This window comes from Homo sapiens, chromosome 2, assembly GCF_000001405.40.
Source record: "Homo sapiens chromosome 2, GRCh38.p14 Primary Assembly".
NCBI classification, from domain to species: Eukaryota; Metazoa; Chordata; class Mammalia; order Primates; family Hominidae; genus Homo; species Homo sapiens.
Window position 1 is genome coordinate 45,966,003 of NC_000002.12, and position 15,558 is coordinate 45,981,560.

General features: G+C 44.3%; 1 protein-coding gene across 21 annotated transcripts in view, besides 2 other annotated features; it reads left to right on the forward strand.

Annotated features, from left to right (window-relative positions):
• PRKCE (protein kinase C epsilon) overlaps positions 1-15,558 on the forward strand; it is a 536,712-nt gene that overhangs the window by 314,724 nt on the left and 206,430 nt on the right. For 20 of the 21 annotated variants that reach the window (XR_007078551.1, XR_939695.3, XM_005264428.2 and 17 more), the window contains 3 exons: positions 10,427-10,586; positions 12,974-13,008; positions 14,294-14,379. Coding sequence is in view for 18 of the 21 variants with exons in the window: in XM_005264428.2 (XP_005264485.1) it covers positions 10,427-10,586; positions 12,974-13,008; positions 14,294-14,379 (281 nt within the window). In the remaining 3 variants the exon portion in view is untranslated. Of the gene's footprint in view, positions 1-10,426; positions 10,587-12,070; positions 12,639-12,973; positions 13,009-14,293; positions 14,380-15,558 lie in introns of those variants that run through there. The other variant, XM_011532982.3, reaches the window with a different exon arrangement.
• Positions 7,442-7,991: an enhancer, noted in NCBI's record as "NANOG hESC enhancer chr2:46200583-46201132 (GRCh37/hg19 assembly coordinates)". NCBI's record gives its function as "activates a minimal SCP1, AML or CMV promoter by ChIP-STARR-seq in naive H9 embryonic stem cells {active_cell/tissue: H9 hESC(naive)}" and the evidence as "EXISTENCE:reporter gene assay evidence [ECO:0000049][PMID:30033119]".
• Positions 8,953-9,002: an enhancer, noted in NCBI's record as "active region_15699". NCBI's record gives its function as "activates an Ori minimal core promoter by ATAC-STARR-seq in GM12878 lymphoblastoid cells {active_cell/tissue: GM12878}" and the evidence as "EXISTENCE:reporter gene assay evidence [ECO:0000049][PMID:35858748]".

The window sequence follows — 15,558 nt, forward strand, 5'->3', positions numbered from 1 at the left end:
TGATCAGCAGCTGACAGGAAACTTCTACACACACAGTTGGGTACAAGTGGGACTAGGCTATTTTGCCATCCTTGGGAGGCGTGGATGGCTGGGCCAGGGTGGGAAATCCCAAACTGACATTTACTGTTGGCTGCATGGCCTTTCACAAGACAGTTATTTAACCTCTTTGTGCCAAAAGTAATGCCTTGTGATATTAGAGGAAGTATGTAAGATGCTTACATATTGCATGAATATGTAATGTTGATACTTCATAGATGTGTAACATGACCGCAGGTGCCTGTGATGCTCCCACAAACGTGTGCGTGAGATACTATCTCGCACGTGTGTGATGCTCTGTCACACATGTGAGGTACTACCTTGCACGCATGCGGGATACTGTCGTGTGTGTCAGATAGTAGTACCTCATACACTTAAGGTGCTTGGAATCATGCTCAGCATCTGGCAGGGGTCCCATAAATGCTAGCTGACATCTTTCAGCTTTTGAATAGGCAGGGTTTGACAGTTATTTAGACCAAAATACCAGGATAGTTGAATTGTTTTCTTTGTGTTGTAAAATTACCTTGAAGACTATAATCACTCTTTACCTGGATTCCAAGATAAGCCTCCTGATGAGCTGACCCCCACCCCAACCCCAGGGTTTTCCTCAATCTAGTCCCATTTCTGCTTTTTTCTAGAGTTAAGTCAGTGTTCCTTGCCCAGCCCAGTCTTTCTGACAGTTTTCCCGGTCCTAAAGCCTTGTGGGATGGGGTGTGGGGAAGATAAGGCAGGCGCTCCCTCTTACAGTGGCAAGTAGGTAACATCTGGGGGTAGCTGAACCCCAGCAGGTTGGGGGCCACAAGGGAGCATCGGAGCAGGTTCTGCAGGGTCAGGGATGAGGCTGTCGCTCTTCCTCAGTGAGGCATTGTTGGCTCCAGGGAGATAGAGAGATGCAGGGTTTCTGGAAGTCAGTATTGGATTACTAAAGCCACAGCTTTGGTGGATACAGCCTGTTTTTGGAAAGATAAAAGAGAAAGAACCTGAACCATGGCTGTATATGTCTGATCTCCTCAGGGCCAGGGGTGTGCTGGTGGTAAATGTTTAACAACAACCTCCCCAAGAAAGTCCTGATTTGTAGCATTTGTTGATTTTCCTGTAAATACCCCCATGGTGGCCATTTCACGCTACTATGTGTAGTCCTCAGATGTGGAGCGGTATGTACTACAGGATCCAGAGCTGGCTTCAAACCCCACTGCCATGGTCATAGGAGGAGAAAACCCTCCCTTCAGCATGTGCTAGATGGCAGGTGAAATTCAACAATCACCATCTGAACCCATCACATTTTTGGCAGTATTTTTTCTGTCACTTCTGGTCCTTACACTATCAATTTTGGGGGCCATCCTGGAGTGTCCCCTGGGGTGAAGGAGGTCCTGGAGGCCTACCTACCACCCCACAGTAGACCAGCAGAGGGAGAGAAGGGCAAACAGGGGCCAGGCTTCCACCACCCTTGCGAAGCCTGGTATGCTTAGGAAGAAGAACTTCACTTGGGCCTTTATCAACCATTATAGTCAAGGTCAGGACTATGGTGCAAGCAGAATTTAGGACTGCCCCAAGTCTCAGGAATCAAATAATATTGTAATGTAGTAGTTTAGAAAATCAGATTAATGAAGGAAATAACAAAATTTGAAGTAAAGATACAGTCAGGATGACTCATTTTTTTTCTTTTTTTCTTTTTGCCTCAGAATCCAACATGGGTCTGTGCTGCTCCTCTCAGCTTGAGGTTTGGGTTGAGCCATGGAATTGCCCCTCTCCTGATAGATAAGATAGGAAAACAGTGGCTCAGAGATATTAAATGACTTGTTCAAGGATATGAGGCAGGTTTTGGGAAAGGACAAAATTTGTCCAGTCTGCTAATACCTCATTCAACCATACTGGCAGAAAGGGGAGGTCAAAAGAGAGAGCTCAGAGAAAAGAAAGAAGACCCCACAGCACACCTGCCTGGGGAAAGATCCCTGTGTGCCCTGAACACAAAGGGTAGGGGACTGTCCTGCAGTGAGGAATGACAGTGGTGCCCCAAGATCATGCATGTTGGCAAGTCTGGCCCAGGCAAGGTTGACCCTTGTTCTTGGCTCCATATACTCTGGAAGGCATTGCTGGCATCCAGGCATACGTCTGTGTGTGTTAGAAATTCACTGTTAGCGATTCACAACTGCAAAGATATGGAATCAATCTAAGTGCTCATCAGTCAATGAGTGGATAAAGAAAATATTACACACACACACACACACACCATGGAATACTACTCCGCCATAATAAAGTATGAAATAATGTCTTATGTAGCAACTTGGATGGACTTGGAGGACATTATTCCATTATTCTAAGTGAAGTAACTCAGGAATTGAAAACCAAAGACTGCATGTTCTCACTTAAAAGCAGGAGCTAAGCTAAGGGTATGCAAAGGCATACAAAGTGGTATAATGGACATTGGAGACTCAGAAGGAGAAGGATGGGAGGGAGGTGATGATGAAAAACTACCTATTGGGGTACAATGTACACAACTCAGGTGACAGGTACACTAAAATCTTAGACTTCGCTACCATGTCATTCATCTGTGCAACCAAAAACCATTTGTATCGCAAAGCTATTGAAATAAAAAAGTTTTTTTAGAAAAAGAAATTATCTGCTGAATATTCCTAAACTGAAAGGCAATCTAAGAACACTGAGGTTGTGGGTGCCCCTGACCCCACATGAGGAGGGCGTTCAGTTTTTCCAGCTTGCTTTTTGTGTGGGAGGAGACGTGGTGGGTAAGAGAAAGGACAGTGGAGCAGTGAAAACTTCAATGACCAGACTGGCCAGAAAATGTGGTCTAGGGTTTGGTGCCAGGGGCCATCTCTCCCTGAGTCCCTGAGTGTTCCTGTGGTGCAGACTGAGAAGTCTCACCCCCAAAGAAAACGGGCCAGGTGAAGTTAGGTAAACAGAAGAAGAACTGCACGGTACAGACCCCATTTTTGCTCCTCTTGTCACCTGCCTACAGCCTGTGAGAGATTATCCCGTGCATTGGGGCTGTAAAATATTCATTGATATAAAACCTTCTGGAGTTTGAAGTTCATAGCCTAATTGAATCAAGGAGAAACCATCCCTGGAATGTTGTTGGAGGTTGGGGTTACTGTGAATCTTGAAGCTGCTTCAGAGGACGTCTCTGCTTCGCCTTATTTATGCCTTTGTGAATTCTTGTTACATCCCCACAGCCAAGTTCTCCATTTCCATAGAGAGTTTCCCAAAAGTTATCCAGCTTTGTCTTGGCCTTTCCTTGACTCAAGTTCACCCCTTCTGCAGTGAGGCAGATGCAGGCATAAAACAACGGACCTCCAAAGAGCCAAATGGGTCCTCTGGGAGGTCAGCCAACCTTGATGTTGCCTCAGAGGTCACGGCAAATGAACTGTCATGCTGGCTGAGCACGGCTGAGTGCATCCAGTGCCAGCAGCGAGCATCTTTTGGAGCGGTTCAGAGGTGAACGGGCATGGATCCGGCAACTCTGGTGTGCAGCGGGCCCAGCGTTTACTCAGTCCAGAAGCACAGGCAGCTGGGAAGCCGGTGGTTTCCCTCTTCTCTCCCCTTCTCCACGGCAAGCTGCAGTTCCCTCACCTCCTGTTTGTGCCAAGCAACCCCCCACTCCTGCAGCATGAGGGAGCACCTCATTACCTAATACTTTTTAGGCAAGTGAAAGCTTTAAAAAGTCACTAAAGAGCATTAGAGAACACTTTTTCAAATGTCAGCCTATATAATCCCATCATCCTAGTGGAGCGCCGTTCTTACGTTATCTTCAGCCTGCAAATTTGCTTGACATTGGGGTGTATTATTGTTCATTCTTTTTTCACAATATTACAACACATTTCTCCAGGTTTCTGTGGTCTTTCTTCACCCTCTTAAAGTTGCTGTCGTTGTAATGTGATTCATCAGACCATTGGCCTAATAGTAGACAGTCAAGTCATTTCTGTTTGTTGGCTAATATAGATATGCAAAGGGAAACATCTATAAGGATATAGCTTTTAGTTTGTTTAATTATTGACTTAGAGTTAATTCCTAAGGAGTTGCCGAATCAAAGGATGTGAATCTCTTTGTGGCCTTCCCTGTGCAGTCTCTGTGTCTTGTGATACTGCTTTCTGAAAACATGTCAACTGGCATTGCCTGTAGCAGTGAATGAATGTCAGTTTCATAGTAGACTTGCCAATAATGGATAATAATTTTAAAACAAATTGGTTACTTTTTTAGGTATTAAATGGTATGTCAGTGTATGCCAAAACTGTTTTGCTTTGCATTTCAAAATTCCTGATTATAGTCAGTATCTTATGAAAATTTTATGTTTGTGTCCTTTAAGCTATTATCTATGGGGATCTTGATATATATATTTCAATTTGTTGATACATAGCCCTTTGTGCTGGTCTTGCCATTTAATCAGAAACTAATTGGGAGGAAACAATCAGAGAAATTCAGATTGTGAAGCATTCAATGTGACAACATCCTGGATGCTACATAAATGTATCATTAAAAAAGATACATTTATGTATCTAGAACAGTAAAGGAGACTGTTCTAGACTAAGATTAAGAAGATATGGCAACCCCATGAGCTCTGGGTAGCTCCTGGGTGAAAATCAGAAACTACAAAGGAAACTTGGGAAACAATTGGGGAAATTCAAATATGAACTCTATATTAGATAATGTCATATCAGTGTTAAATTTCTTGACTCTGTTATTGTGATTATGTAGCTGAATGTCTTTGTTCTTAGGAGATAAAGACTGAAGTATTTAAGAGTGAAGTGTCACTACGTCTATAACCTTCAAATAGTTCAGCAAAACTATATATGTATATATCATACATATTATATATACTATACTATATTATGGATCAATATATAATATATAAATTATACATACTATATATACATACACATATACATACATTTATGTATCTGTTATTTTATACATCAGACACACGCATATTACCTCTACTATGAGAGTTGCATTTTATTTATTTTTTTTGTGATAATGCTTAACATAAGATGTACGCTTTCAGCAAATTAAGTATACAATGCAGTGTGTTAACTATAGGCACAAAATTGCATGATAGATCTCTAGGACTTACTCATCTTGCATAACTGGAACTTGGTGCCCTTTTACTAGTATCTCCCTGATTCCTCCTTTCTCCCAGCCCCTGGCCACCACCATTCTGCTCTCTTGCTTCTATGAGTTCAACCACGTTAGATTCCTCATATAAGTGGTATCATGTAGTATTTGTCCTGCCATTGGCTTGTTTCACTTAGCCAATATCCTCCCATGCATGTTACCCCAAATGGCAGGATTTCCTTCTTTTCTGTGTCTGAGTAACATTCGATTGCATGAATACACCATATTTTCTTCTTTTTTTCGTTTTTTAGAAATTGTAACAAAGCATTTTATTTACGTCAAGGTAGAAAGCTATGCTAAGGACATAGAAATCTGCTTCAGCTTTCCTTTAGCCTCACACTTCATAAAAGTATCAAGTGGTTCTCTCTGGCTTTTACTTAGTCATCTGTGTAACCAGGGTTGAAGACAGTAGAACACTGAGTCTTAGTGTAAGTGTAAGAGATTGAGAAGACAATCTCTTTTGAATTATGGTTTTTCAATGTTTGTTGTATCATCTTTTTAAAAAGAGCAATAGAGATTCTTTTTAGAAAATACAAAGAAGCACAAGGAGAAAAGTAAAAATCACCTGTAATTCCACCAGTGTCAACGAATGACCAATGTTAATGTTTTCTAAGTAGTTGGAACATACCTTTCCGCCTTGTGTTTTCTTTTGTGTGTATGTGATGAATACACCATATATTTTTTTAACCATTCATCCATAGATGGACATTTAGGTTGCTTCCATGTCTTGGCTATTGTGAATGACGCTGCAGTGAATGTGGGAGTGCAGATGCATGAGGACTCTTCAGGGTCCTTACTTTCATTCCTTTGGATGTGTAGAAGTGAAATTGCTGAATCAAATGGTAGTTCTATTTTTCGTTTCTTAAGAAACCTCGATACTGTTTCCTATAGTGGCTGTACAATTTTACATTCCCATGAACAGTGAACAAGCGTTCGCTCTTCTCCACATCCTCGCTAAAACTTATCATTCTTTTTTTTTATCATAGCCATCTTAACAGGTATGAAGTGCCATCTCATTGTAGCTTCAATTTGTATTTCCCTGATGATTAGTGATGTAGAACATCTTATTAAATACCTGTATACCTGTTGGCCATTTGTATGTCTTTAGAGAAAAGTCTACTCGGTTCTTTTGCCTGTTTTTAAATTGGATTATTTGGTTTTGCCATTGAATTGTGGGAGTTTCTTATGTATTTTGGATATTAACCCTTTCTCAAATATACAGTTTGCAAATGATTTTTTTCCATTCTTCAGGTTGCCTTTTTATTCTGTCGATTGTTTCCTTTGCTGTGCAGAAGCTTTTTAGTTTGATGTAGTCCAACTTGTTTATTTTTGCTTTTGTTGCCTTTTTGGTGTCATATCTAAGAAATCATTGCCAAGACCAATGTCAAGAAAGTTTTCCCCTATGTTTTCTTCTAGGAGCTTTATGGTTTCAGTGTTTACATTTAAGTATTCAATCCACGTTTAGTTGATTTTTGTGTATGGTAAAAGGTAAGGATCCAGTTTCATTCTTTTGCATTGGATGTACAGTTTTCCCAACATCATTTATTGAAGAGAATATCCTTTTTCCATTGTATATTCTTGGCACTCTTGTTGAAGATCAGTTGACTCTTCTTGGCTTGGAAGAATTAATGTTTGTTAAAATGCCCATAAAAGAATTAATGTTTTGTTAAAAGGAACTGCAACTTTAATATGGTTCCTATCAAATTCTCAAAGGCATTTTTCAATAAAGACAGAAAAAACAATCCTAAAAGTCATATGGAACCATGAAAGACTGAACAGCCAAAGCAATTCTGAGTTAAAAGAACAAAGATGGAAGCATCACATTTCCTGATTTCAAAATATATTACAAAAATTCAGCAATTAAAACAGTGTGGTACTGGCATAAAAACAGACATATAGACGAGTGGAACAAAATAGAGAGCCCAGAATTAAGTTAATACATATGTGGGATCTACATTTTGGAAGAGACCTTTCATAGCGGAGGGAAATGCTGAAGGGATCCGTTTCTGGTGGTGGACTCCAGGCCCCAGTAGGGAGGTTCTTGGGGACTGAGGGACCTAGTAGCTCCCCTTTTCACATTGTATAGGCCACTTTCTTCTCCACCTGTGGGTGACAGTGCTGAGGATACTCTGGCCTGACCCGTGGCTTTCCTGCCCAGAGGAATGTGGAATTGGGGTGTTTTCAGCAGCCACAGGCTCCAACCCCTTTCTCCTGTCACCTGCTTTGTAGCTTTGCACACAAGCCTCACTTGAAGCATGAAGTTTACCCATGTTCTTTCCCTCCTGTGACCTTCTGTTTTTCCATATCTGACATCAAATCTGACTTAAAAGGCAGTGCAGATGCTCCTTTGGGGCAATAGTAATAGAAACCTTGGAGGAAGTTGAACTTAGAACTCTGACTTACAGGAGTTATCCTTGGCTGTCTGCCTAGCCTGTGCCTGAGACTCCCCCTCCACACCCCTGCCAACTTTAAACAGCTTCCCTCCAGGTATCAGGGCACCCCGCTGAGACAGCTTTGAAATGAATAGAGTCAAATTAATTGGTTGCCATATTGCCCTATTGGATTGATGTCAACACAGTTTAGAACGATTGGTTTCATTGCTCGTCATTTCTGTAAAAAGTTGGGAAATAAGACTCTTAGGAAGGACTGTAACCACCGTCATAACAGTGTTCCTTTGAGAAAATTAGATTGGACCCATCACCATTTTAACTGAAAATAGTTTCCCAGGATGAAAACAACTAGTCAATTTGAGAGATTTGTAAATCAAATTGCATCTTAAATGCATTAGGAGACGGGCTTACTGTTCAAATGTATTCCGTGGTGAATCCTGTGAAAGGAGTTAAGGGTGCTCTTTTACGAAAATAACCTGCATCCTGTGTCCTATGATGCCCAGGATGATGTTTCTGGATTGGATTTTTGTAGGTAAGTTTGTAGCAAGTAAGGGCTACTGAATAGATTTGGTTTTTGGTTGTCATATTTTTGTTCTTGCTTATGAAAATAGTAGAACATTCTACACATTGTGAAAGTATGAAGCGAAACAAAAACTTGCCTATGATGGCAGCACCGAATGGTGATTGCCATACTTCTGCAGCTGTGTGTGTTGCTGTCTCTATACTAGAACAGACCTGGGTCCTCCCGTGAGAATTTGGTCAGCAGGTCAAGACCCCTAGGTTGGAGCAGGGTAGGAGGTGGTGAGCTTTCTGTACCCAGAAGGTCGGTGATGCCAGAGACTTTTTGAAACAATAAGCACCAATTGAAACCCAGGTGGGCTAGGGGTCAAGAAGCAAGGGGATCCACAAGCAGACCTCCACCCGGGTCATCTGAGCCTGTGTTGAAGATGCAGTCTGGGAACGCTGAGGGCAGATTTCCAATAAACAGCTGCCTGTTTGCTCAGAGGCTGCTGCGTCCTTGGAAGCACACGCTGCGCATTTGGTCCTGTTCTCACCTTTTACCTCCTTCAATTTTACCTTCCCTCTACCCTACCCTCCAATAACAAGATGCCCTTGGATTAATCTGTTGTTCAGGTCATACATATGACCTCCACTTCAGGGAACCTTACATTCAGAGAGGTCCAGGAGGGATCAATGCTTCTTCCCCTGAAGACTGGCCCTGTTATGGTGAGATGTCAGGCACTCGCTGATGCCTGGAGATATTTGGGGGCACAGAGCCTTCCAGTGCATTTTAAGCTGACCTGTGCAGGGGACCTTCTAGGAGACCTTCTAGAAGGTGTCAGAAACCTAGGAAGAAGCCCAAAGCCTGCCCACTGTGTTCTTGGGGAAGCCACAGGCAGCTGGACTCTTTGGTGATGAAAGCCACTCAGATGAGAGCTTGGGGACTTTCTGTAAGGAGTGCAGGCCGTCCTTCAGAGCAGCGTGTGGGTGGAGGAACAATGGCCTCTTTCTCACTCTCTGGGTTAGAATCTGGGCTTCCCCACTGAGTAGCTGTGTTAACAGGAGTAGGTTACTTAAACTCTATTCTTCGCTTTGCATACCTGTAAAATGGGGCTAATAGCAGTACCCTTCAAGTGGAGTTGTTTCGAGGGTTCATTGAGATGTATTGTATCACTAAGATATAACACACTTAGCATAGCACTTGCCAGAGCGTAAGCCCACGATAAACATTTATCATGGTCATCCTTGTCTTAATCAGCTCAGACTGCAATAACAAAATACCAAAGACTGGGTGTCTTAACCAACAGACATTCACTTCTCACAGTTTTGGAAGGTGGACATCCAAGATCAGGGAGCCAGTATGGGTGGGATCTGCTGAGGGCCCTCTTCCTTGCTCACATGACAGAGAGCTCACTCACTCAGGTCTCTTCCTCCTCTTATAAGGACACTAATCCCATCATGGAGGCTCAACCCTCACGACCTCATCTAAACCTAATTACCTCCCAAAGGTCCCATCTCCAAATAGCATCACTTTGGGGGTTAAGACTTTAATGTATTAATTTTGAGGGGGCAAAAATATGTAGCCCATAACAATTATCTTTATTATTTTTGTGATCATCTGTGAGTCCCCTTGCAAGGCATTCTCAGTTGGTGGGGCAGTCTCAGAACTGGAGGGAAGGAAGGTATTGGGAAGATCTTTTTGACTCCAGTGGGATCTTTACAGCCCATGGTGGTGGTCTTGAGCCTTCGAGAAACTACTTTCACTGTGTCATATTTCCCTCTCCTTTTGACCTCTGGGAAAATGCTCTTGGTTGGCTTAGTCTAGGTAAGAGGAAGAAGGAAGAAGTCAGATTTATTAGGCAGCTACTTCTTGAGCCAGGAAGCTTAGGGTGTGGAGATTCATCTCATTGCGTCCTCTAAGCCACCCCCTGTGGCTGGCACTGCCATTGCCATTTACAAAGGGAGATGCGCTCAGATGCTCAGGGGGAGGAAACACCACCTATCCAAGGTCACACTGCTCAGGAGTTGCAGTAAGATGCGAACCTTGAGCCTTTTGACCCCCAAGCCCTTGAAACCAGCTGTAGCCTGTGTGGGGAGGAAAGGGCAGCCAGCCCTGGAGCAGAATTTGGATTGGATGGAATCTGAGGATATAGCAGGAATAGGCACACTCTGGGCCTTTCCACCCTACATGTGCTCGCTCACTCCAGCTGCTCAGTGGGACTCCTCAGACCCCCGAGTCCCTCCACACACAAAGGCTACCTCTCACCCACCCCAGCTCCACTCCCCCAGGGATGGAGTAGCTCTCCAGAGGGAGCTCATTTTGAAGGTGCACTAACCCAGACTCCGTTTTCTTCCCTGCTCTTGTCCTTCCCCAGCCCCTAAAGACAATGAAGAGCGTGTGTTCAGGGAACGCATGCGGCCGAGGAAGCGGCAGGGGGCCGTCAGGCGCAGGGTCCATCAGGTCAACGGCCACAAGTTCATGGCCACCTATCTTCGGCAGCCCACCTACTGCTCCCATTGCAGAGACTTCATCTGGTAAGCCTTTCTCTTGGGAACCTCTAATTACAACATCTCTGTTACAAGATGTCGGGGATGGGGTAGGGGAGACTATGCACCTCATTTAAAGAATGCTGGTGTGCCTCGTTTCTTCCTTATCTGAATGCAGGGGACTATTATGGAAGGCTAAGTGTGTGTTTGGTACATAGGGGGAAATACATGGAAAGAAGCGATGGTTTCTGGCAACTTTATACCTAGAATTTTATGAAAAGAGTTAAGATTTTAGTAACCAACAAGGATATTGTGACTGTGTGTGTGTGTGTGTGTGTGTGTGTGTGTGTGTGTGTGTGTGTGTGTCTTGTTTTGAGACAGAGTCTAGCTCTGTTGCCCAGGCTGGAGTGCAGTGGCATGATCTCCACTCAATGCAACCTCTGTCTCCCAGGTTCAAGTGATTCTCATGCCTCAGCCTCCCACATAGCTGGGATTACAGGAGCACACGACCACGCCTGGCTAATTTTTGTATTTTTAGTAGAGGTAGGGTTTCGCCATGTTGGCCAGGCTGATCTAGAACTCCTGGCCTCAAGTGATCCACCCACCTCTGCCCCCCAAAGTGCTGGGATTATAGATGTGAGCCATTGTACCCAGCTGATTGTGTGTTTTTAAAAAGAATACTTATCTTTTACAGACACACCTCAGGGTGAGGATTCCACTGAATAATAATCCACTGAAAAATAATTCACTGAATTATTTACAAGTGAAATTATCTGATGCCTAGGATTTGTTAGAAAATCAGGAAGGAGGCCAGGCACAAGTGCGGTGGCTGATGTCTATAATCCCAGCACTTTGGGAGGCCGAGGCACGCAGATTGCTTGAGGTCAGGAGTTTGAAACCAGCCTGGTCAACATGGTGAAACCCTGTGTCTACTAAAAATACAAAAATTAGCTGGCCATGGTGGTGTGCGCCTGTAATCCCAGCTACTTGGGAGGCTGAAACATGAGAATCACTTTAACCCTGGAGGTGGAGGCTGCAGTGAGCCGAGATCGCTATACTATACTCCAACCTGGGTGTGACAGAGTGAGACTCTGTCTTAAAAAAAAAAAAAAATCTGGAAGGAGGAGAGGGGCTGAGATAAAGATGATCGAAGGCCAGCCCCATTCCACTAACAATACCCAGGCTCAGAAATGAAAATGAGACTGGCCTGATGTCCTCTAGCTAGGAAGTGTCAGAAGTATGATTCTACCCCTAGTAGTCTGACTTTTAATGCTGATACTTTTCCTGACATCCCACCAGCCTTTCTAGCAAGCTGTCTGAGCTCTTTGAAGCTGATGTAGAGGTTGCCTTCATGAACCCTTGGATCCAACTGGGGAGAGCGAGTGAGGCCAGGATGCAGTATGAACCCAGCCAGGGACATCTGCACTGGGCTCTGAGGACCCCTTGGATTCCAGGTGTCCAGTAGTCACTTGTCTTATCCTCATGATGTCACAAAGCCAGTCATCCAGGTTGGCGTAGACATCTGAGATGATATAGCTCAGAGCAAGCCCAGCCCAACTGAGGCAGAAATAATGCCCCATTCCAGCCACAGATACTTCCAATTACCAGGGCAGACCCAGCTGTCTGACCTTCACTTGCTACATTTGGTCATGAACTGAGTGGTCGGTCTTACAGATCCAGGTCTCCTCTAAGTCCATGGGCAAAGGCCACTGAGCTCTAGGTTCCCTGGGGTGGAGCCTGAATAGCTTCTGGTTCCCACTGGGCTGGGAACTTCAGGGAGCTCCCTGACCATCTGTAGTTAGTACACTAAGGACAGGGGTAAGGCCGGGTTTGTGTGATAGTTCTGTGTCCATGCTGACTTTCTGTCTTGCCCTGGGAACACCACTCTGGCCATGGAAGGAACCTCTAATGTTGGCCTTCACCTAGACAACCTCTTGAACCTCTAGTTCGGGGCACAGACTGGCTTAGAACCATTGGTGGTCTTTGGACTGCCCAGGGAAATATACCTGCCAGCTGCAGCCCTCTTCCACAGTTAGAGGGCCCACAGAGCGTGTCCTGGTGCTGGGAGAAGAGGAATGTCCATTCTATCCACAAGGAAAGGTATGCTTCACTGCTCAATGCCTACCAGGAGCAAGCAGGGTCGTTTGTGGCTTTCCAGAACATTGCTGACCACACAGGAATGGCTCTCTGTATAGGAAATCAAGCTCTGATGCTGACCAAACCTTGCACCTCCCCAAGCACTGGGACTGCCCTCTGTGGGCTTCTGGAAGGAGACATTTAAGGCACCTTGCAAGTGAGAGAGAAATTACAATATTCTGCATACTTCATGTACTTGGTGCTATGTGGGTGGTGGCCCAAATTGGGTGGTTTTTCTGTTTGTTTTTTGACCTGGTAAGATTTCACTTTTTTTAAAAAAATGTTATTCTTCTTTTCAGGGGTGTCATAGGAAAGCAGGGATACCAGTGTCAAGGTAAGAGGCATTTATGAATTAAATCTTCAGAGGCCCGTGGTTAGATCCAGATCACTGGCACCCATAGGAGGCAGGTGCTCAGTCTGATGACATTTGGAGGCTCTCCACAGCTTGCATGCTTTCTTTGTTCCCACTTGACCATTACTTCTGCATATATGGGAATATATATGGGAGGCATTTGCAGGTGCCACCTGTCTCCAGGCGTCCTTGTGATCTCAGCAGGTCCCCAATCCACCCGGCCTTTGTGTCTCAACTGGAGCAGGTGGCACTTTCATCTTTCTGAATGAGACATTCTGCTTCAGTTGGAGGCTCTTTGAAAGTCCCACTTTGTCCTGAACTGGGTCTGTGTATTCTGCCAGATCCCTCCCTGTCTCCCTCCCTGAAGAAGCTTCCTCGCCTGCTCGTTGTACTTGGTATCACTGAAAGGTCCTTGTCTAATCCCTTTTTTTGGTCTTGGCTGTGTGATCATTAGCTCTTAAAAATGTAAAGCTCACTTGAAGGTATTGAAGATTATTCCTTTCCAGTTAATTGACTACAAATGCAAGTTTAAGTTGTACAAAATTGGAGGGTGGAAATGTGGCATGGTCATGCGGTGGTTTTGCTGAGGTTAGAGCAGGGAGGTTTTCCTGTCTCCTCGCCAAGCACTGTTGGGTCTCACCCATGGGGTAGTGTCTGGTGGAAGTTGCTGTTCCTTGGGGTAACACGCACACAGTTACTTACCTTTTCAGCCACCTACTGCCCACATTGCTCCATGACACTAACAACACAGATATAGGCCACTTGTGGAAGTATTAAAGTCGATGGGAATTTTGAAGTTTGGTATGTCAGGACACAACCAGATAAAAAAGCCTCAGAACCTCTGCACCGCCTGCTGCAGTTCCCCCTATCACGTCAGCCACCCTGCATGGTCCCGAGTGGGGTGCGAGGCCACTACAACACCTTTAATAGGCAGTGCTCCATGGGAGGGCTGGAAGGAAGTTTTTCCTTGACCTTGGCGTATTGAAGTGAGAAAATTGATCAGTACTCCCTCAACTGGAGAAAACTGCTAATGTCCTTTGAATATAAATGTTACCTTGCTCTCTGGAGCATTTAGGAAACTGATGGCTCTGATAGGACAGTGTTTTGAAATAGCTGTATAAAAGACTTTAGGGAGGGTATTAAATTAAGGCTCAGTGGCAGAAGGGGCCTGGCTCCCCTTGTCACTCCACCAAGCCCTGAATAGATCCTGGGAGGGACACTCCCTTTCCTGAGTGTCATTCAGCCTTCCTGTCTTTGCTATTTGCAGTCTGCACCTGCGTGGTCCACAAGCGGTGCCACGAGCTCATAATCACAAAGTGTGCTGGGTTAAAGAAGCAGGAGACCCCCGACCAGGTAAGTGTTGGTGACACGGAAATTCTGGGCTTCTTCACCGCCAGCCCCTCCCTTCACTGCCTCTTCTGTGGTTCCCAAGAAAACCTTCTCTGCCTGAGACCCTGTCATTTCATTGTGTTGATAAAAAAACAAAGGGAGCTGTCCACGGTCTTCTGGCATGAGACACCATCCGCAGGATGAGCACAGGTCCAAGTCAGTTCTATCCCCTTGGATGTTATGCCAAGTGCAGTGTGATCCCAGCACTGAAGCCCACAAGAAAAATATGAATTCTTTTATTGCATCATCTCATCAGAACTAAAATGGCTAACCAATGTGTCACTAGCTCCTCACAGGTAATAAACAGTAATAGAAACACAAGCAGGAACCTTGTCTAATGAGCTAGCTGATGGGGGAGTGGTGTGGAATGAGCAAGCCCAAGGAATACTTAGGAGGCGGCAACAACCACGGGAATAAAAAGAGTCAACATTCACTGGGCACTTACCGTGCCCTGATTGAAGCACTTTAACATATATTATTTAATCACATAAAAACCTTCATGAGGTAGATGTTATTATCTTCATTTTACAACAGAATAGAAGCACAGAGAGTGAAATTAACCTGCCCAAAATCACACAGCTAAGAGCCACTTTCAAACCCAGGCAGTTTGTTCTAAAGCCTGAGCCCTTGACCACTGCACTACGTTGTCTCTTAATCTTAGAAACTAGCATCAGATTGCCTAGTTTGGTAGAGGTAAGGAAGCAGGAAAATGCAACAATGAAGCTAGGTTCACCTAACTGAGCAATTACGAGAATGATAGTCCCACTGATAGATTAAAAAACCTTTTTGAGGAAGATGACAGTTGTGAATATGGATGTAGGTATTATCAGAACACTTGATTTCAAGAGCATGCTCTTAATTCTGGGGGAAATAAATTCTGTGTAGTCATAGGCTATTAGAATCGCGGGTTAGAGAGAAAGGCCTTGGGTAGGTTTATAATCAGCTGGTCTACAATTTGACTTCCAAGAGGACTGACTTATAGAGACTTCTACCTGCTTCTTAATAATTGAGTCAAATAGCATCCTGGCATCTAAGGCATTTCCCATCTTCTCTCTCCTTCTGCTTTCATACTGTCTCTGGAAAGCAACAAAGGACAAGGCTTAGACTGAGCCTTCTGTGTCTGTGAAGGTTAGTCTGAGCCCA